We start from the raw sequence: 20424 nt of genomic DNA, 5'->3' as shown, positions 1-20424 counted from the left end.
CAGGTAAGGAAGGTGTATTAGTTGGGATCCTAACAAGACACTCAGGGCTCCCTGAAAGGAAAAAATACAGAGATGTGGATGGAGTTAGGGGGCCCCGCAGGGATGGGGCATACCCAGAGACTAGCAGTTCTTCTACCATTCCTATAGGGACCAGAGGGGAGCAGCATTACTGGAAGCCAGCAAGAGCTGGCCTGAAACCTCACTAGAGGAACACAGGCAGTGCCAGGGGCATGAAGGCCAGAGAAGGATGGATAAAGATGAATCTCGGGCTGGGCTGGGGGCAGGTGCAGAATAATCAGCAGAGCTGTGAAGGTCTGTGGTCTCTTAGAGCCTTAGCTTCTGAGATATGGGAGGCATACCTACAACTTGGTGCCAGGGAAGGTGGGCTCAGCCACACTTTGTCTCCCTGCCTCCCAGGACCTTAGGAAGTAAACCATGCTTTCACCAAGCTGACAAGAAGGCTTTGTTGGAATCTTATGAAATGAGCTCATGGCCACATCCTAACTTGGGGGCAGAGCCAGGTCTGATGAGAGTCACATGGCATCCAGAGCCCAGTTTGGGTGCTGAGCAGATCACACAAGATCATAGTGTGTCATCCTCACAGCCTGGGCTTGTTTTGTTCCCAGGATATGTGGCCGCATCTTCTGTTACTACTGCTGCAACAACTACGTCCTGAGCAAGCACGGTGGCAAAAAGGAGCGCTGCTGCCGAGCCTGTTTCCAGAAGCTCAGTGAAGGCCCTGGCTCCCCTGATAGCAGTGGCTCAGGCACTAGCCAGGGAGAGCCCAGCCCTGCACTGTCACCAGCCTCACCTGGGCCCCAGGCCACAGGAGGCCAAGGTCAGTCTCCTGCTACTACTGCCTACTATGTTCTCTAGGTGCCACTTCCTCCCCTACCGATGTTGTGGCTAGTTAGTGCTAATAAGCTGAATTCAGTGTTTTCTAAACTTAGGTATTAAAGAGGTGCTAAAATATATTACCACCAACTTGAGACTTTCATTTTGATATATTAGGATTGAAAGAGAATTGAAAAAGGAATAACTTTGCCCTGATAAGATTCAGTGTGATTTAACCTGAAGTCTATGTACCTGTTAATGCACATTCATGAAATACACCCCATGCTTTGGAGAATGCCGTCTACCAGAGCTGCAGCCTTGGCATCCAGAGTAACTCAAGGCTAGGAGTTGTGTCTGGAACCATCCATATCCTTCAGTCTCTTCCTGAAGCTCGCTCTTCCTTCATGTCCAAGGAGGATGTAATCTCCTTTGTGTCCTCCCACTCAGCCCAGTGAAGGAAGTAGAGTTTGGGTTCTGCTGCTTCGGTTTTGAGCACACCCTAGCAGACAGGCCTGGGCTGCCCTTCCGGGCACTGGACTTTGAATGTGGAACACAGGGAGGCAGAGCTGAGACGGCACAGGCAGAAGTGGTCTCAGCTCGTCTCTGCTCGAGCATCATTGCCATCTGCAGCTGGTCCCTGTGAACTCCTCCTTGGCCTCTGCCTGGATGCAGGCCAGCCAGCCTTTAGAAATACTGTCCATTCCTCTTTTGTTTGAGTGGATTACCAAGTGGTTGGCAGGCCCCATTATGTTGTTGGGTACAAAGAACTGACAAGGATGGGGAGTGTACTTTGCACAGCTTTAGTTTATCTTCTTCAAATCTTTTGCCCATTTTAAAATGTTTTTTAAGTATTGAATGTTGAGAGTCCTCTGTATATTCTCTATGCAAGTTCTTTGTCACATATGTATTTTACAAGTATTTTTTCCCAATCTATAGCTTATCTTTATATTTTCTTTCAAAGAGCAAAAAAGTCTTCAAAGAGCAGAAGTTTATCATTTTAATGAGGTCCAATGTATCAGGTTTTTTCTGTTATGCATAAATGTTTTTCTTTTTGTTGTCATGTCTGGCTTTACTTAGCCCAAGGACTCACAGACCTTCTTCTGTTGTCGCTTAGAAGTTTTACAGCTTTAGCTTATACATTTAGGCCTATGATGCATTTTCAGTTATCTTTGTGTATGGTGCAAGGTATGAATAGAGATTCATCTTTTTGTATGGCTGTCCAGTTATTTCAACACCATTGATTGAAAGACTGTTCCTTGCACCTTTGTCAAAAACCGACCTTATTTTTTTTTATGCTGCCATGAGAAAGTAGGCAATTGACCTTATATGTGTGGATTTATATCTGGACTTTTATTCTATTCCATTTATCTATGTGCCTATTCTTTCACTAATACCAAACTGTTATGATGACCATAGTTTTATAAAGCATCTTAACATCACGTAGAGTGACTCCAGTTTTGTTCTTTATCAAAGTATTGGCTATTCTAGGTTTTTTGTTTTTCTATATAAGTTTTAGAATCAGTTTGTCAATTTCTACAAAAAATCCTGGTGATATTTAAATTGAGATTGCATTGAATCTCTAGTTCAGTTTGGGGAGAATTGACATCTTAATAAAATTGACTCAGTCCATGAACATGATACAACTTTCTATTTATTTAAGTCTTTGGTTTCTCTCAGTGGACATCATTTTAGATCCCTGCTGTCTGCTTTCCCTTCCCTCTGCCAGCCTTACAAGGCAGGTTCAGGAGTGTGGCTGAATTGATGGAAAAAAAAACAATCCCTGGCCCCTTTTTTCAGCCTATGCCTCAAGCTCTCTATTACACAGACTTGAAACAAGAAGAAGAACTTCACTTCTAAAGCAGGGCCTGCCTTAGTGGTCATGTGGCAGGTCCAGGTGGGAACTTTAAGCTCACCTGAACCATTTTTCTTGCTAAACACCCCAGGAACTTTGCATGGGCTTGCCCTGACTCATTAGTGACCACAGAGTGCTGCGGTCACTTGTTTTGATTTTTGACATTTCCTGTCTACTCATTTATTTATTTATTTATTTATTTATTTATTTATTTATTTATTTTTGAGACTAAGTCTTGCTCTGTTTCTCAGGCTGGAGTGCAGTGGTACGATCTCGGCTCACTGCAACCTCTGCCTCCTGGGTTCATGTGATTCTCGTGCCTCAGCTTCCTGAGTAGCTGGGATTACAGGTGCCCGCCACCACACCTGGCTAATTTTTATATTTTTATTAGACACAGGGTTTCATCAAGTTGGCCAGGCTGGTACTGAACTCCTGGCCTCAAGTGATCCACCCACCCCGGCTTCCCAAAGTGCTGGGATTATAGGCATGAGCCACAGCACCCAGTGTTTTTTTCATTTTTGCCTCAAACCTGCTCTCACATTTTTCCGTGACATATGCTGGAGAGTGTTTGTGGGCAGATGACTGGTACAGGAACATTTCTACAGTGGCCTTCCTACTAAGTGGTTTGCACAGTCGGACACAAGGCCCCTGGTTGGAAACCCAGTGCCTGCTGCAAGCCCTTGAGCACTGGGAGGTTCTTTCCCACGCATCAGTGGATTAAGGGAAAATGCAGGTCAGACAGACTCCTGCTTTCAAAAATACATGAATAAGTACTGCCTGTGTCTTACAGAGCAAGGATTTAGTGGCATAGAAGTGTGTTTTCTGTTATTAGGTTCTTTCTTAATAAGATTTTTCCTTCTAAATAAGGGACCTCAGAGAATATGCAAGAGGTTGAAACCTCTCTAAGCCCCTGACTTTGAGAAGTCTCTTAGGTTGTACATTCCATTTCGTCTGTAAGCCTTCCTCTACTTTTTTGGAATGTTCCAGCAACCAACCATTTCTCTCAACTCTGGACAGAATAGCTGTCAGTTGAGTGACCACTTAAATTGTGCCTCAGCAGCTTGTTCTGCATAGCTGCACTCTCTCACTTTCCCAAGGGCCCTTACCCAGCCTATGCATAACAGTGTGTTGTGTCTCTTCTCTCCTGATCTGCCTCTGCTGCCCAGGAGCAAATACAGACTACAGGCCACCGGACGACGCTGTGTTTGATATCATCACAGATGAGGAATTGTGCCAGATACAGGAGTCCGGCTCCTCTTTGCCTGAAACACCCACTGAAACTGATTCTCTCGACCCAAATGCGGCTGAACAGTGAGTAGAGGTCACCCCCATTTCCTGAGTGCTCATTACAGGCCTGGCCCCTGTGCTTTCTTATCAAAGGATGAGGAAAGTGAGACACTGGAAGCAGGATTGACTGTCCTTGCCTAAGGGAACAGTGCTTGCGATGGCCTTGAAGAGCATCGGCGCTCGGGAAGTTGTCAGTGTTGAGCCTTGCAGAGAGTTCCTGAGAGATGTCAGTGGCCCCAGGTTTCAGCATCACTATTAAGGCCTGTCTTTCTTGGCTTGAGCGACTATATTAGTTTGCTTGGGTGCTATATAAAATACCGCAGACCGGGTGGCTTAAATAACAGAAATTTACCTTCTCACAGCTCTGGAGGCTGGAAGTGCAAGGTCAGGTGCTGGCAGGGCTGGTTTCCTGCAAGATGCTTCTCCTTGGCTTGCAGATATCTGCCCCCTTGCTGCCTCTTCATGTGGCTGTCCCCTGTTGCATGCCCCTGGTGTGTCTCCATGTCTCTCAGTCTCCTCTTCTTACAGACACTGGTCGATTGGATTAGGGCCCACCCTAGCGGCATCATCTTAACTTAATCATTCCTCTACAGGCCTCATCTCCAAATGCAGTCACAGTCTGAGGTACTGGTGCTTAGGGCTTCAGCATGTGAATAATTGGGGCATGGGGAGACGATTCAGCCTATAACAGCAACCCTTGCTGGGCCGCCCTTGGCAATTGCTCAGAGCAACATGCTGCTCTTTAAAAGCCTTGCTCCCAGGCCCCTGTGCTCCTGGTCTTACTCACCTTACCACCTACCCACCTGGCTTGCTGAGTGATGAAGGCAGAGTATGGCTTAGTGCTAATGGAATGAAGCATGCCCTAGGGACCACTGGACTATAGGGGTTGGGAGAACACTGCAGGCTAATACTGTCAGGGAACGCATCAGAGCAGGGGTGTCCAGTCTTTTGGCTTCCCTGGACCACACTGGAAGAAGAATTGTTTTGGGCCACACATAAAATAAACTAACACTAACAATAGCTAATGAGCTTTAAAAAAATCGCCTTACCCCCCCCAAAAAATGTCATAACGTTTCAAGAAAGTTTATGAATTTGTGTTGGGCTGCATTCAAAGTCATGGGCTGCATGCGGCCTATGGGCCACAGGTTGGATAAGCTTGCTTCAGAGGAAGGTGTTCCAGGAAGGGAAGGCAAGGCCCAAAGTCACAGAGGCAACAGTGAGTAGGGGCTGTCTTGGGTCTCCAGTTTGGTGATTGGATTGGCTTTGTCCATGAGGCTCCAGCACGGTGAGTTTAGTTCATCTTTTGGAAACACTAATCAGGCTTGGCGAGGATGCCATGAGAAAGGAAGCTCGGATTTAGTTGCAATTGTCTCTGATAGATGCGCCCTCTCAGAGGTTCCTTTAGCTGCAGATAAACCCACTCAAAGCCTCAAAGTTTTAGCAGTAAGAAAAATATGGACAGGCCTATTACTCTGTACCCTGTGGAACCCAAGGGACTTTCCACTCACCTAGCCTGCACTTTGCCCTAGCACTGGTATTTTATGCTGCTTTTAATCAGTGACCTGGATCCACTGAACCTTCCTGACTGCCGCAAGAATGCTATAGCTTACACAGGCAGAGCAGGCTTCAGAGGGACAAAGCAGCCACGGCAAGGATATCCTTAAGTACTTATTCTCCCTTGGCCTTCTCATTTTTCTAGTGTAGCTATTTGCCAACAAGGTTTTCAAGGAGAGTTTCACAAGGTCAGTTTTTAAAAATATGAGTTGTATAAAGTGCCACCATGTTAAAATGTCAAGAGTTTATGACATGGGACCCATAAGAAAAGGAGGTCCTTGCTTGATGTTTCTCAGTCTGTGTTGTCTGGCTTTAGAGCAGTTTACAAAAAAGCACTGGCTGTTCAGAACCTCAAGAAAGAATTTATGTGGGTCCCAGGTCCCAGACGTTTCTTGACCCATTTTCCCTCTGGTTAAGGACATTTTTTATGATGCTCCTGCCTCAACATTGAGATCTGTCCCTCTTTTCCTGCCCAGAATTCAGAGGAGAGCTAGGACTGCTCTGTCAGATTGATCATTCAGGATTTCTGCTGCATGTCTTTAATCTTCATGACGCTGCCATTGTAAGGGACTTCGGGCTTACATGTATCTCCACAACCCTCTGTTCCCTGACTAGAGAATAACTGAACTTATCATGTTATAGCTTCATGGATAAAGCCAGCCTGATCACCAAACTCACCAGACCCAAGATCATGTCTACTTCTGTCACTTCTGTGACTTTAGGCTTTTCCTTTCCTTCCTGGGACACCCCTCCAACCCCTGACCATGTAAGCCTGCAGTGTTCTCCCAACCCCCATGGCTCAATGGTCCCTGGGGCATGTTCCATTCCACTAGCACTAAGCCACACTCTGCCTCCATCACCTGGAAAGCCAGGTGGGTAGATGATAGGTGGTAAAGTGAGCAGGACCAGAAACCTGGGGGCCTGGGAGGACATTCCGGCTTGAAATTCTCTTCTTGCTTCCTCTAGCCTGAGTGAGAAAGTGACTATCCTACAGCTCTCTCTCTCCTTACCCCTCACCTTCCCCTGCCCAGTAGGAACAAAAACAGAAGGCATTCTGACTGCTGACAAATATGTGTGGTTTGGTCTTGGGAAATCAGGAACTGTTCCAGGGAAAGGAAACTGCCAGTGTGCTGGTCTTCGGCCACCAAGGCGGATCTGGGACTAACTGATAGGAACCTGTAATCCCTGCACTTCTGTTAGGGTGAAGAGCCACCCTTCCAAGTCAGTTAAAGGCTGCGTTGTCAGACACTTTTTTTGTGCATTAGCTAGAGATAAACCCAAGCATTTCTGGTAGCTTTTTCCTACATACTTTTTCTTCCTAAGTTTTAAGACCTAAACCAAAAACACCGAGAGTCTGAGAAAGTGTGGGAGATCTAGAGCCCTAGATTTGTGTAAGCATCCCTGGCAAGAAACTTCGGGAAAAAATAAGCAAATCCAAGGTAAGAAGGGATCCGGGAGAGATTAAACACTAAGTCCAAATTCATGAGGAATATTAGGCCACTTGGAAGTAGTGTTGTTGAAAGTGATGCTGTTGAGCGCCTCCCTTGCACCAGCTGCTCTTACACGTGACCTCACTAGTCCCTGTGCAGCCCATCAGGGAGTGGAAATTATCTCATTTTATAGGCAAAGAAGCTGAAGCCTCAGGAGGCTGGATAACTTCTGTTGTTGGAGGTGCCAGAACTAGGCTTTAGACTCCAGTCCACTGGCTTAAGATTCATTTGGAAGAGTTCAGCTCTCTTCTCTCCGTCCCATGTCCGCATTTTGCCCATCTCCCCTGCCTTCATGTTCTCTCTTTCGCACATGTACACAGTTTTGGGGCTAAGGAAGTTGTTTGCCTTGCCCCTCCTCCTGGCAGAGATGGGTCAGGAAGGGGTCCCAAAGTCCAGCCTGCCAGGGAGATGTGGCCTGATGCTGGGACTCCCTAAGCAACCTCCTAGTGGTCCCTGTGCATGGCTCAGACCTAGAATGGTGGTGCAGAGCAGGACCACAGCCCCTGACTTCTGGAGAAAAGATGGTATTCGTCATAGCCCTCCAGACACACCCATGCACAACCCCTTTTCAGTCATTCAGGCCCACCCTCCACCATCTACACTGACCAGGTGTCCAGCTGTTCTCTGGACTGAGGCAGAGAAGGAAATCAAGCTCTTGGCAGCTGGTGAACCAGGCCTGTGGAGTAAGGGCTGGCAGGGGCACTGGGCTGTGGCTCCCTCAGCCTTTGCTCAGCCTCTACCCAGTCATGGCCTCCTTGAGGCCCGGCCTCCCCCTCTAGCTACCAGATGAGCAGACAGTATGGTGGTGAAGAGCTTGAGCTCCAGAACCAAACATACCTGGTCTGCCACCTCCAGGCTCCATGGCTCTAGGTAGTGCAGCCCACAAACTCAGTTTCCTCCTCTATACCGAAGAGACTGGAACAGCACTCACCCCTAGGGGTGTTAGGAAGATTGCATGAGAACTGTGTGTGTGGAGCACTGAGCCCAGCCCAGTGTCTAATGCCTGGGAAGACTTTCATGGAGTTATGTTGCTTTCCTGATGTGTCATCAGGGGCTGAGCTGTGTGTGCTACTGCTACCACCTCAGTACCTTGCACTGCGCAGCCCAGTCGTCTCCTGCAAAGAAGATCCTTCAGATACCCAGATGACCCTAAGTGAGCTTAAACTCTCCCACAGAAACATTCCCTGAACCCTCAGAGCATCTTTACCAGTAATTGCTTCAGAACTGGTGCTTCATGGTCAGAGTGTTTAGGGGAGCTGTGGTAGATTTGTCACCCACCAGGAGATTTGATGTTTGGTATCTCAGAAACAAAATGAGAACAGGATATGGTGAATGGTTAAGGTTACAAAGCCACCTTGCGCGTGGGTTGACCCAAGATCTCTGCCTTCAGCTGAATACAGAGGTGACAGGTACCCTGTGGCTTGTCAGTGGCAGGAAACCTTCTTGGAGCCAACATTTCTGGGCAAAGAAAGGCTGTTTACTGAGATTGTAGTCCTAGCTCTGTTGTGTGAGCTTTGGCAGGCATTAATCTCTCTGAACTAGTTTTCTCATCTGAAAATGGGGATGATAGTGCCAGGCCTTCTACAAAATGGCATTAGTTACCAGGGACCAACAAGGACTAGGCAGCTGGAAGGGGGTGCTGCTTTGAGAGCCCCTTGGAGGAGGAGGCCAGAGTGACTGCCCTGACCACTTCTGGGCCCCATCCTCTTCGCTTTGCCTCCACCCCTCCAGTAGGGGTAGCTCCAGGCTTTTCCCTTCTATGGCACCATCTCCTCAGTCCAGAACACCTACGGAGGACACCTGGGCCCCTAGCACCCAGGTAGCCCCTAGAGTCAGTGTCATCTTGTGTTCCCCACATCTCAGATGATGTGGCCATTAGTGGCCTCTGCCATATCTCTGAAGGGATTGGAGCCCATAAGTACTGCAGCCACCCCCAGGTGTTGGGAACTTGGTAGGGAAAGAGCACATCCTTTACCCTCCAACCCTGAGGCCACACCAAGGCAGTATGGACTCAAGCAGAGCCCACACCCAGCCTCATCCCCTCCCCCAAGGCCTCTGATGCCATGTGCTGGTGTGGACAAGCAGAAGGGAGAGCCAAATGGAAGGGAGAAGGGTGGGCTGAGATTGGGAACTGGCTCTGCCCCACACATGACCTCAGTCTCCTCTGTGGAATGGAGCCTGTACCAACAGCATCTTCTGCTTCCTGGGCTGTGATGTGGATGGAGTGAGATCAAGACGTGAAGGCCCTTTGTAATCTGCATGTGCTGTGCCCGCGTTTATTCCCCTATCCAGGGGAAGGGGTTGGTAAACTGACATCTACTCCAAAGAGTGGCAGGTAAGGGCCCAGACGCATAGGATCAATTAGTGGCTGAGGAGGCAGGGAAGGCAAAGAAAGATTTTGCTGCTGTGCTGTTCCTGGGGCCAGGCAGGCAGGGCTTTCCTAAGCTACAAAAGGCCAGTGCAGGGACCCTGGGAGGGGGCGGGCACCTGGTCAGGGAAAGCCCCATGGTCCCAGCGCTGCTTTTCTGTTGCTGTGGCCAGGCAGGCCCAAGCATGGTGCTTGCAGTGTGCTGGCCGTGCTCATGAGCACCCCAGGAGGGAAGGCCTTCATGAGCCAGTGGTGTAGGTGGTGAACCAGGGCTTGGGTCAGGGGTACTGCATCCCCTGCACAGGGGTACATGGTGGTGGAGCTGTCACTGAACACTGTCAGAGTGAGCCCAGAGCCTGCATTCTCATCACACCTTTCTGCATCTCTCCATGGGGACTCGTGGAAATGCTGCAGGGCCCTGTCTCCTGACTCTACTTCTGCCTCTGTCCCTTGGGCCGGGACACTGTCAGGGATACCAGGGACTGGTGGCCCCTCTGTCAGAAGTGTTCCAGGTTAACATGAATGCACAAAGGGGGAATGACAGAAACTCTCTTTGAAAGCCACTTAAAAGATAAATGTCAGCCTTGTCACCCTAAAAGGGCAGATTTTGTAGTTGGAGGAAGCACTCGGAGGTCCATGTGGCCTGAGTACAGTAAAACTCTGCTTGTAGACGCATTTAGGCATGTTTATGAAACAGTAGGTAGGATCATGTGGGCTCTGAAAGGCCCAGCCTGTGCTCAGCTGCACCAGGTGCACATGGTATGCCACACACCTGGAAGGCACGATACAAACCCTCCCTCGCCTCGCTAACCCACGGAGCTGACATGGAGGGCTTCCATTTTGTGTCACCAGTTCTTGTAAGAAATAATAACTAGTGCTATTTTTTGGACCTTTTCTCCCCAAATGCAAACTGTGCCAAGTGTTTTACATGCAGTGTCTCAGGTATTCACACCAACCCATAGAGGTGGTGCTGTTATGATCCATGTTTCACCAAAAAGAAAGGAAACAGGTGCTCAGAGGCTAAGAGATTCGCCCAAGGTCTTACAAACTGGTGAGTGGCAGGGATTCAGCTCTCGTCTATTCAGCCCCAAAACCACACTGTTAAGTCAGTTCTGGCCTACTTCTCTGCGCATTCTACTTAGCTGTTGTCAGTTGGTTCTCCGTATTTTGGTGAGTGATTTTGGGATACATAAGCCCAAAAAACATCTTTAAGCCTATTGAACAGACTGCCAGGATTTAATAAACATGCATAAAATCTGACATTTAAAACTATGCCTCATCCTGTGACCACATTCTGGAAGTTAAACAAATGTGCCCCACACTTTGGACAGGAGGTTAGAAACCACAGTGAAAGAGCAGGGTCATTATCACTGGTGTATTCCATTTCCGTGATAGAGCAATGCCATGAAAGTTTACGACTTATTTCCCGGGCTCTGAGCCCAAAAGTAACTTTTTTGTATATTCCAGGCATACCACATTGAAATAGAATGTGCCGAAGTGTAAAAGTAGTTTGGAGACTTTAACAGTTTTATTTCTTAGCTATGAAACTCATATGCTAGTAATATATGACATATGTGTGTATGTGTGTGGGTATATACATTTACATACGTTTGTGTGGCAGACATTGGAAAATTTCATTTTTAAAATGCAAAGCCACCAAAGAGTCCACTTCAGAAATGCTGCTTAGATTCATTACAGTCTTAAACGCTGTTTTGCACATTTTTCAAGCATTCCATGGACCACTGGAATTATCAGCCTCTTATAATTCAGTTTTGCCCATTCATAGTCCCTGGTGCTAGTTATTCTGGATTAATCAAAGCAATCTGAACATCTACCTATACAAAAGTCAAGCCCCAAGGTGAGGCAGAGCCTGATCTCATTTCTGTGAGGTGCCTGGTGGTGCCAGCACTTGTTTTCACTGCTGCTCTGATCTACACTCTTTGCCCAGTAGTCAGAAGAGCCTTCTGAGCTTGGGCACCCAGTGTGCCACCTACCATCAACAGCTTTGTTGGCCGTGCTCACCTCTTCAACCTTCAGCCCCAGTCCCAATCAAGGAGAACCTGAGATCATAGGAGTCACATGTCATCCCCCTTGGTTTCAGCATTCTTGGAGATGGAGGAAGGAAAGTCCTTAAAAATTTTAGACCCCCTACTTGGGCTTTCAGCATGAGTGTTCAAGAAGAGAACAGTACATGTTCATGCCTGAGAAGAAGCATTCCAAACCAGCCAGAGTGTCTGATAACTTCTCCATGAGAATGCGCAAGCTATAAACAAAGCCTGCCTCACCACATCAAGAGGGCACAGCCATGACTTGCAAATTCCAGAGCAGCTTCTCGAAACCCTGGCAAGGCCTATAACTGGAACATGCTGGTGGCCTCCACATTGTGGGAGGCAGAAAAAGTCTTGGAATTGTCCTCAGAAGATTTCCATTGATGTGAGACCCCAAGGTAAGGGAGGCAACCAATGTCCTTCACAAGTTTCCAGAAGTTCTTTCGAAACTTCAGGCTGACAAAGGCATAGAGCACAGGGTTAAGGCAGGCCCTCAGGTATGCGATGGCCTCTGTCACCATGATGGTGTAGTGAAAGCTGGTCATGGCATAGTATTCCCAGTGTGTGCTGCGGATGAACTTCATGAGGTTGAAGGGCATCTGGGTCAGCAGGAACACAGCCATCACCAGGAAGATGATCTTTAGAGATCTGTGCTTCTGGAAGCCTCCAGCATGAAGCAGTGTTTTGATTATGACTGAATAGCAGACAATCATGGTGAGCAGTGGCAAGAAGAACCCCAGTGTCATCTGGGTGGCAAGAACCACAGTGGAAATTGCCTCGTCATGGTAACCACATATGAGCTTGTCGAGATTAAAGACATTGCCATAGATAATTTGGGGCAAGGAAACCAGCAGGGATATCACCCAGATGAGCAAGCTGGTGACCTTGCCCCAGGTCATCCTCTTGGCTTGCTGGTTGTAGGCCTTGGTGGCCTTAACCACTACAATGAAACGATCCACAGTGATGCAGGTGAGGATGAGCATGGACGTGTAGAAGTTAATAGTGTAGATGCCCAGTAGGCTCTTGCACATGACCTGGCCAAACACCCATTCATGGATGCCTGCATAGGCCCAGAAGGGCAGAGTGCAGACAAACACCAGGTCAGCCAGGGGTAGGTTCACCAGGAACACATCCGTCAGGCTCTGCAACTTATGGTAGAAGATGGATATGACCAGCACCAGAGAGTTCCCCACCAGACCACAGACAAACACCACCAGGTACATGCAGGGCAGAAAGACCTTGCTGAACTGCAGGAAGTCTTGATGCTCCTCCTGGCTGCTGTCATTGAAACTGCTGAACCCATAGTCTTCATGGTAATCATGCTCTGCCATGGTGTCTGTTCTGATGAACACCTGTGAGTCAGAACCCAGGAATTATATTTGGGGCTGAGGATGGCATTCTTTGTCTTCCTGCTATCCCATTGACCACATTTAGGGGGCAAATAGTCATCTTCTAAACCCACCCACTGGGATGTGTAGAAACAGCACAGTCCAGTATATTGAAGATAACCAATTCTGAGGGGAAATTGCTCAGACAGGATGAGGACTCTCCATTAGCCTGAAAATTCTCAGGATCTCACCCATCTGGGAGACAACTCATAACTGACCCCTAAGCACATTCCATAAAATCCTGTGCTCAATTATTTTGAAACCAAAAGTCGCTTTGCTGCCAGGTGGGCACAGTGCTGTTTGGAAGAGCAACACTGATGATGGATGGTTGAGCCCACTGATAATATGAGCTCATCAATGGAACATGCCTGTTTTCATCTCCCCCTGCCTCACCACAGTTGCCCACCCATCCTGAGCCCCATTTCCTAATAAATTGTGAAAGCTAAAGCAAGTGCCCCTACCAGGGGGCTCTCCTATCAAGGAGACTCCTGGAGACCACAGGTGTTTGGGGATGGCAAGACTGCTCTGCCTGGGTAGGTAGTCCTTCCTGCCTTTACTTCCCCTCAATTGCATAGATTTTCAAAGGCTACTAATGGGGAAACAAAGCATAGAAAAGCCCACGACTGCCCAGCACTTTGGCTGAGCTGGCTTCATGGTTAAAGCATTGGGTGGTTCTCCTCACTTCCCAACTAAACTTTCCCCTTCATCAGTTAACACAGTTTATGGCATTCTACCATCAGAGCCTCATTTCCTGAAGACTTCTGAACAAGAAGTCTCTTAAAAGGTAGATTTCCCCAAAGCGGAACCTTGCCTTAGCTCCTGTGATTGGCAGGTTAGGACTTAGGGGCCTCATTTAACAAGCAGAAAACCCAATTGAAATGGGATGCCAGATGGGCAACCTTTCTTACCCAGGGCACCAGCCCTTCAAGATGTCACTTCTCTCTGACCCTTCCCTCTGCCCTGTGACCCTGCCAAAGACCATGGACAGGACAAGGGATCATGTAACCTGTGGTGTGGGAGCAGGGGCAGCTGCGGCAACATCAGCCCATGAGTGCCAAGTCTGCCCTTGCTACAGGACTGCAGATACTCAACATGCAGCAGCTCATTTCCAGTGACCTGGAGCCATGTCTGGCCAGCACCTCTAGAAGATGTATGAAGAAGAGCAGGTGTTTGGACAGAATCTCTGCCAGCAAAGTCAAAATATTGCCTGACCAGACAAGTGCATATAAACGATGAGGTTACCTTTCCTAATCCACTCAGAAACACTTCTGTCGCTGACTTTGAGTCCTGACTGGGAGCAGTGTCTCCGATGCTGCTGCTTGCCTCTGTCTTTCCAGGGACCAAAGTGCCCTTTCTCTCTAGCAAGGAAGGATGCTGCCTTTGGGCTAAGACTGCTTAATAAAAATCCTTGCCCTTACGTCACAATTGTTAGATCTCTAAGGGTGATAGGTCAGCCAGTAGACATCCTGCCCCCCACAAGCTCTCTGGGGCACTGTATTAAGTAGGTCAGATGATGTGTATGTGTTATTGATTCACATGGGCAAAAACATATTTTTTCATCATTTAAAATATGAAACAGGTGGCTTTGCTCTTAAGAATAATGTTCAGCTCCCCATTATTGCTTGACTCGCTCTCGCCTTTTTTTGGTATCTTCCTGTTCCAGCTTTTGCTGGTCCCTTATGCTGCCATTACACATTTCCTCAAAGGACCTGTGCAAATTCATGTGTAATAATTGGTAAACTTTGATGTATAATAATTGGTAAACAGATTGGGCCTGGACAGTGCTGTGCAAATAGAGTATGAAAAATTACTTTCCCTTCTAGGCGAACTAAAAACATTCATTTCTTTATCCTCTATAATTAAAATCCTATTTTGTTTTCTGAAAATTAAAAAAAAAATCTACAACTTTGGAAGTAGTGTAAAAGTCTGATAATGATGAAGCAAATTACAATTCATACATAAAATAGAATATACTTAAATGTTTAGGAAGTATTTTTACTGATTTTGGAAAATGCAATACAGTTAAATTGCTAAGAACAGTGTAAACACAAAGTAAATATGCAAAATAAGTATTAACTATTACTATTACAACAAATAGATGTCAAAAGGATATAAAATTGTGATTCTTAACCTTTTTTGACCATAAACTCCTTTGAGAATCTCCTAAAAACTGCAGACCTTTTCTCAGAAATAATGTATATATATATACACACACACACACACACACAGACACACACGCACACACACAAACACCCCTACAATTCTGGGAGTCCATGAACCCCTTGAATCCTTCTGCCATGTATTCTGTGGGCCCTCACATAAGAGTTCATGATAAACTATGTGATTTTAACTGACCGTACTTTTAGAAACCTGGAAAAAATGATCACATTTTATTAACAGTTGGCCTCCAGCTGGTGGAATTATGGGTGACTTATTTCTTCCTTTTTTTAAAATAGTTTTCAAAGTTTCTACAGTAGTATGTTGATTTATATTGAAAAAAGAACATAAATGATAATCTGATAAAACAGCCTGTCTTATGCAAAAGAAATGAAAACAGAGATTATTCATTGAGCAAATATAGACAATAACTAGATTCTCCTTATCTCCCTGGGTGGGTCTGACTATGCCATTACTAGCAGTACCATCAGCCTGCAAGCACTAACTGTGTGCCTGGAAACATGTTCAGTAGTTTTCATGTTTCTCCAGTTTAACCCACACAGCAGCAAATGGCAGTGATGGAATTTGAACGAAGAGCAGCTGAGCTCCATAGCCTGGCATTTTGCACTGTACCCTACTACAGACAGGAATCTGAGAATACCAACAATACCTGGGGTTAGTCCTCCCTGTCTTCTTTTCAATATAAAGAGTAAAACAAATGACTCACCAGCAGAGATGCTTTGCCAGTTTGTTCCAGAGATGAGCTTGCTCATGAAGCAAGGTCTGCCTCTACTTCTGTGATGTGGTTCATGTTTCCGCTGAACATTTTTTAAGAGCCCTCAGCTGGTTACTATAAGAGACCCACCCCCTACTCCCGTCCTTCAGATCAGAATCCATATGACCAACCCGCCCCTGTGTAACGCGTGGGTCAGAGATGGATGGGTGACTGATACCCCACACTCCCTTCATTCTGCTTTGGGGCTGATTCTTCTGTCAGGGCCTGACGAGCTTTATTCGTAAACTAAAGGGGAACAATAAGGAGGTTTGGCTCTGGCCATCCACCGAAGATGGTGGCATTTGTACCTTAAAATTACTTAATTCACTAGTCAGACATCTTTTTGGAACAGTTAGGGTCTGGGCCAATGCTGAGTCCATGGTATGGGCTGGGTTCTGCGTGCATATGCAGCTCCAGCATATGTGATAGCTGTTAAGCCCCATAGCAGCCCTGCAGTGGATATTATCCTGCCTTTATAGATGAGAACACTGAGGACCATAGCCAAAATAACAAGCCCTGGTGCACACAGCTAGAAACTGGAAAATCGAAGATACACACTCAGGTATCTGTCATTACCAGACCAATCAACAGCATGATGATGGGTCTGCCAGAGGGCCTGGTGCAGCCCCACCTCCTAAGCCCACACCACTCAGGCACTCAGCAGGCAGTGCCCACCCACCCTGCGTAGGCTGGCTGGAATCATCTGGTTTCCTTGGGCTGCCCTCTGTACTCCTGGAATTCCCCAGATGTTGACTACTTTGATCTCAGTACAGTTCTAGTTGTCAGTCTCCATGATCTAACATTACTGACCCTTCTGGGAAATAACGCTGGAAGGCAGGAATTGGAGGCATGTCAGCCTGGGTCACATGCCCCAGTGCCTTGTAGTGGAGAGGGTACTAGGGAGAGGCATGGACTCGATGTCTGCTTTCCCAGAAGCAGCTGCCTTCTTGTGGAGGTGCCTGGCCTGCCTTCTCTGGCTCTGCACTCCCATTCAGGCTGCTTCTCTCCAATGCTGTTGCTCTCTCCCACCTGCTAGGCAAACCTTCTCATGTGGCTCTTCCTAAGGGCAAATGTCAAGCATTGGGAGCAGGGACCAGGAGCAGCCTCAGGATCCAGAGACTAACACTCATTTCTACCGCAAGCCTGGCCCTATGCTGGATGCTTCTATGTACAGCCATCTAATCCTAGTCACGTACAGATAGGCAAACAGAAGATTAGAGAGATTAGCCCACTTGCCCAAGAACACACATCCCTGGCAGTCACCCAGGACTGTCAGGCTGCAAAGCCAGTGCTTCCTGCCCTGCTCTGAGTATGGAGCTGTGCCAGGGGGCCCTGATAAAAGATCTGAAGACCTCTAGTAGGTTTGCAGGCCTTTTTGAATGAATTCGTTCAGACTGTCCTTTCTACCAAACTGGTACAAATGAGTGAGGTGTTCCTTATGGGCATGAACCATGAGGCCGCATAGACTACATACCGATGGACAGATGGATGTAGGGAATGGTGGACAAATGAATAAAGGAACAGACTGAGCCAAATATGCACCTGTCTTCCTGAAAGAGAACTTTCAAGGCAGGGTGGCAATTTAATGTAACCCTGCCTGACATTTAGGAATCTTTAAGCTTTGAGAGCTGAGTTTTACCCAGGGACAACCAACCATGCCATTCAAGACAGGTCCATAGGGCAGTGTTAGAATGGCCTGAGCCTTGTCAAGCACCCTTGGCCATGCTTTTCTCAGCAAGCCTTTCTACTCCATGGGGAAAAACAAGCCAGCACCTGGGGCCCTCCATGACTGTGTGTACATGTCAATATGGGGATATGTGTATTTGAGAAAGCATGGCTTGTTTATCGTGGCCATTCTTTAATAGAAACTTCTCTATAGTACAAAAGACTTTCACCTAAATTTGAGGAGCTGAGCCACTTGCAGGTTTGGGGCTAAAATTTTATTTTAATCACTTTACAAAATGCCGTTTACTATCTGCCAATTTATAGTGTTAATTGTTTTAAGGGCATTACTTTTATTTGAAACAAAACTTTGAACTTCCTAAGGGTGGGAACCCAATCATATATGTCTTAGATTTCCCCAGAAATACCTAAACATTTTCTAAATAAAATTGAGGGAAGAGTAAAAAGGAAGTGGCAGACATACCTGCTGCAGATTTATCTTGGAAGTCAGACTGTTGGCCTGCTCTCCTTACCTGAAGACCTGGCAGAGCTGTTATCAGTTCCAGGATTCAGGGATGAGACATTTACAGTTGTTGGCAAGGCATTGGTGGATGATGGGCTGTGATCCACAGAAAAGTAGCCTAACCAGCCAGGCGTGGCAGTGGGCACTTATAGTCCCAGTACTCAAGAGGCTAAGATGAGAGGATCATTGAAGCCAGGAGTTTGAGGCCAGCCTGGGCAACATAGCCGGCAGACCTGTACCCCTGCAAGTCACCAGGATGAGCTGAGAGATCATCTGGTGGGAGCAGAGCCACTATGGCTGAGAGGAATTGTTCTGGAGGAACAATTGTTCTATAAGCAGGAGAGCAGGAGAAGGAAACCGCGTACAGGGGTTGACTACCTCCAGCGGAAGAAGGTGAGTTGTAGGAGTGTCTTACCACTAGGGAATGTGTCTGAGTCATGTGGCACCAAAGTATGTTAGCAGCAGCAAATCCATATGGGTCTGCAGCAACTCAAGTCTTGCCTCCTTGGAGGAAAGAATTTGGCCGAGGGGCAGAAGTAGGCTTAAGGCAGAGGGAGAGACTGAGGCAAGTTTTAGAGCAGGAGTGAAGGTTTATTAAAAAGTTTTAGAGCAGGAACAAATGGAAGTAAAGTATACTTGGAAGAGAGCCAAGCAGGTGACCTGAGAGATCCAAGTGCCCCATCCGGCCCTTGACTTGAGGTTTTATACATTGGCATGGTTCCAGGGTTTATGTTTCTTCTCCCCCGACTCTTCCCTTGGAGCAGGCTGTCCGCAGGCATGGTGGCTTGCCAGCACTTGGGAGGAGCTGCATGCTCAGACTGTTTACTGGAGGTGTATGCATGCTCATTTGAGGTGTTTTTCCCTTATCAGTCGTTTCTAGAGGAAGGTCACATACCGGTTAAACTGCCATTTTGCCTCTTAGTGTGCGTGCTTGAGCCCACTCGCCCAACTCCTGAGATCTTGTCAGGAAGCTGCTGATTACCAGCTTCAGATGTTTTCTATCTATTGGGAGACTCTTTCTCTGGCTCTGGCTGCAACCAGTTATTTTAGAGAGACAGCTTAACAATTGCCTGACCATTACTTGATGGTCACCTGACATTCCTGGGGGAGGGGGGCCCTCTCCTGCCCTGCTCATGTCTGCCTAGCTACCTACTCTAACACTAGGAATTTATAAGCAATGGATTAGCAAAGTAAAATCAAGTTAATACAATAATAATAATTTGATAGCAAAATTTAAAGATGCCCCCAGATCACAGAGTGAATATGATGTGTGTGGTGTGGTTCAGCCCAACCTTCCAAACCTGCACTGGTCAGTGGAGCCTTCTGCTGTGAGAGACCTGTGCTGTACCTGCACTGCCCAACACAGTGGCCACCAGTCCAGGTGGCTAGTGCCACTTGAATTGAGCACTTGAAATGTGGCTAATGCCACCAGGCAGCCACATTTTTAGTTAAATTTATCTGATGAATTTAAGTTTATATAGCCACATATGGCTAGTGGCTACTGTATTGAAGAGTGCAGTTCTAAACTGAAGACATCTCCATTTCACAGGAGACTGTTCACAAATGGAGGCTGACCAGAGGGACGATGGGAGCCTGTGTAATCAGGAAAACAACACTTCTCACTCTGCGGGGCTTAGCGAGGCTGAGGGGAGATGGCACCCTCTGGGGAAGATTGGCAGCAAGGCACCTTGGGCCATAGGGATTTTCCAGGCATCTGTTCCTCCCTCAGCTAGTTTCTAAACAAGCAGATCTGTACTGCAGGCAGTCTGCAGGATTAAAGTTGTGCAGTAATTACATAACAAACAGGCTGAGGCCATTTGAGTCGTGACAGGGAAGGACTATAGACTCCCATTTGTAGACACCAAGCTGAAGGGGCTCCACCATGACTCAGAGAGGTGTGGACTCCAGGACTACAGTGCCAGGGGCTGCCTGATTTGTGCTCACCACTTTATTCTGACTCGCTTCTAATGTGGAGCCTTGGGTATGTCCTCCTTTGGGAGCATTTGGGACAGAAGAAAACCTTACCCTGAGACAAATAATGTAGATATTCACTGGGCATGGGCTGTGTGCACAGCAGGCTGCCCAGGAATGCCAGGATGGCACCCACAAAGGGACAGACAAGTTGACGGACTAGAACATGTGCTCAAGAGATATTCACTCAACTGACCACAGGCTGCAGACAGAAACTCGGAAGGAAAGGGTGGCATGCCATCAGCCAAGCTAGCAGTAGGCTGCCATGACCAGAGCAAGGGGAGGAGGAAAGCCGCGTGGGCAGTGAGTATCTGGTATCTTTGCTGAGGCTGCCTCAATAGCAAGGAAAGGAAGCAGCTGTAGTAGGAGGTGGGGTGCCCTCTAGTGGTCATGCTTTGGTTGCTGTCCTTTCTCAAGCTCTTACATCCCTTGACATCCTCTGAGTTGCTTGAACATTTCCTACAACATCTCATGGTAAGAAATACATTTTGCACGGCTACCTAGTTTGCATGTGT

The 20424-nt window shown here is 47.3% G+C and overlaps 2 protein-coding genes across 17 annotated transcripts in view, besides 1 other annotated feature; one reads left to right on the top strand and one right to left on the bottom strand.

Annotated features, from left to right (window-relative positions):
* FYCO1 (FYVE and coiled-coil domain autophagy adaptor 1) overlaps positions 1-20424 on the top strand; it is a 77922-nt gene that overhangs the window by 36579 nt on the left and 20919 nt on the right. For 12 of the 13 annotated variants that reach the window (NR_170107.1, NM_001386430.1, NM_001386426.1 and 9 more), the window contains 2 exons: positions 627-838; positions 3853-3997. Coding sequence is in view for 12 of the 13 variants with exons in the window: in NM_001386430.1 (NP_001373359.1) it covers positions 627-838; positions 3853-3997 (357 nt within the window). In the remaining variant the exon portion in view is untranslated. The remainder of the gene's footprint in view (positions 1-626; positions 839-3852; positions 3998-20424) is intronic. The other variant, NM_001386423.1, reaches the window with a different exon arrangement.
* On the bottom strand, positions 10895-18331 carry CXCR6 (C-X-C motif chemokine receptor 6). 4 transcript variants are annotated; one of them, NM_001386436.1, is made up of 2 exons: positions 17900-18331; positions 10895-12785 (listed from the first exon to the last, which is right to left on the bottom strand). In NM_001386436.1, exon 2 carries the CDS (start codon positions 12762-12764, stop codon positions 11736-11738), a length of 1029 nt encoding a protein of 342 aa, NP_001373365.1. In that variant the 5' UTR covers positions 12765-12785; positions 17900-18331; the 3' UTR covers positions 10895-11735. The 4 variants fall into 4 exon arrangements, with proteins under 4 accessions (NP_001373365.1, NP_001373366.1, NP_006555.1 ...); NM_001386437.1 differs by having other exon boundaries at positions 17949-18331; NM_006564.2 differs by lacking the exon at positions 17900-18331 and adding an exon at positions 15706-15782.
* Positions 11530-11699: a silencer, noted in NCBI's record as "fragment chr3:45989039-45989208 (GRCh37/hg19 assembly coordinates)". NCBI's record gives its function as "represses an EF-1alpha promoter that drives an FKBP-Casp9 reporter gene in an ReSE screen in HepG2 liver carcinoma cells {active_cell/tissue: HepG2}" and the evidence as "EXISTENCE:reporter gene assay evidence [ECO:0000049][PMID:32094911]".

The sequence above is a fragment of the Homo sapiens genome, chromosome 3, assembly GCF_000001405.40.
Source record: "Homo sapiens chromosome 3, GRCh38.p14 Primary Assembly".
Taxonomy (NCBI): domain Eukaryota; kingdom Metazoa; phylum Chordata; class Mammalia; order Primates; family Hominidae; genus Homo; species Homo sapiens.
Note: the sequence above shows the minus strand (reverse complement) of the source record. Positions and strands in the feature narration are given on the sequence as shown.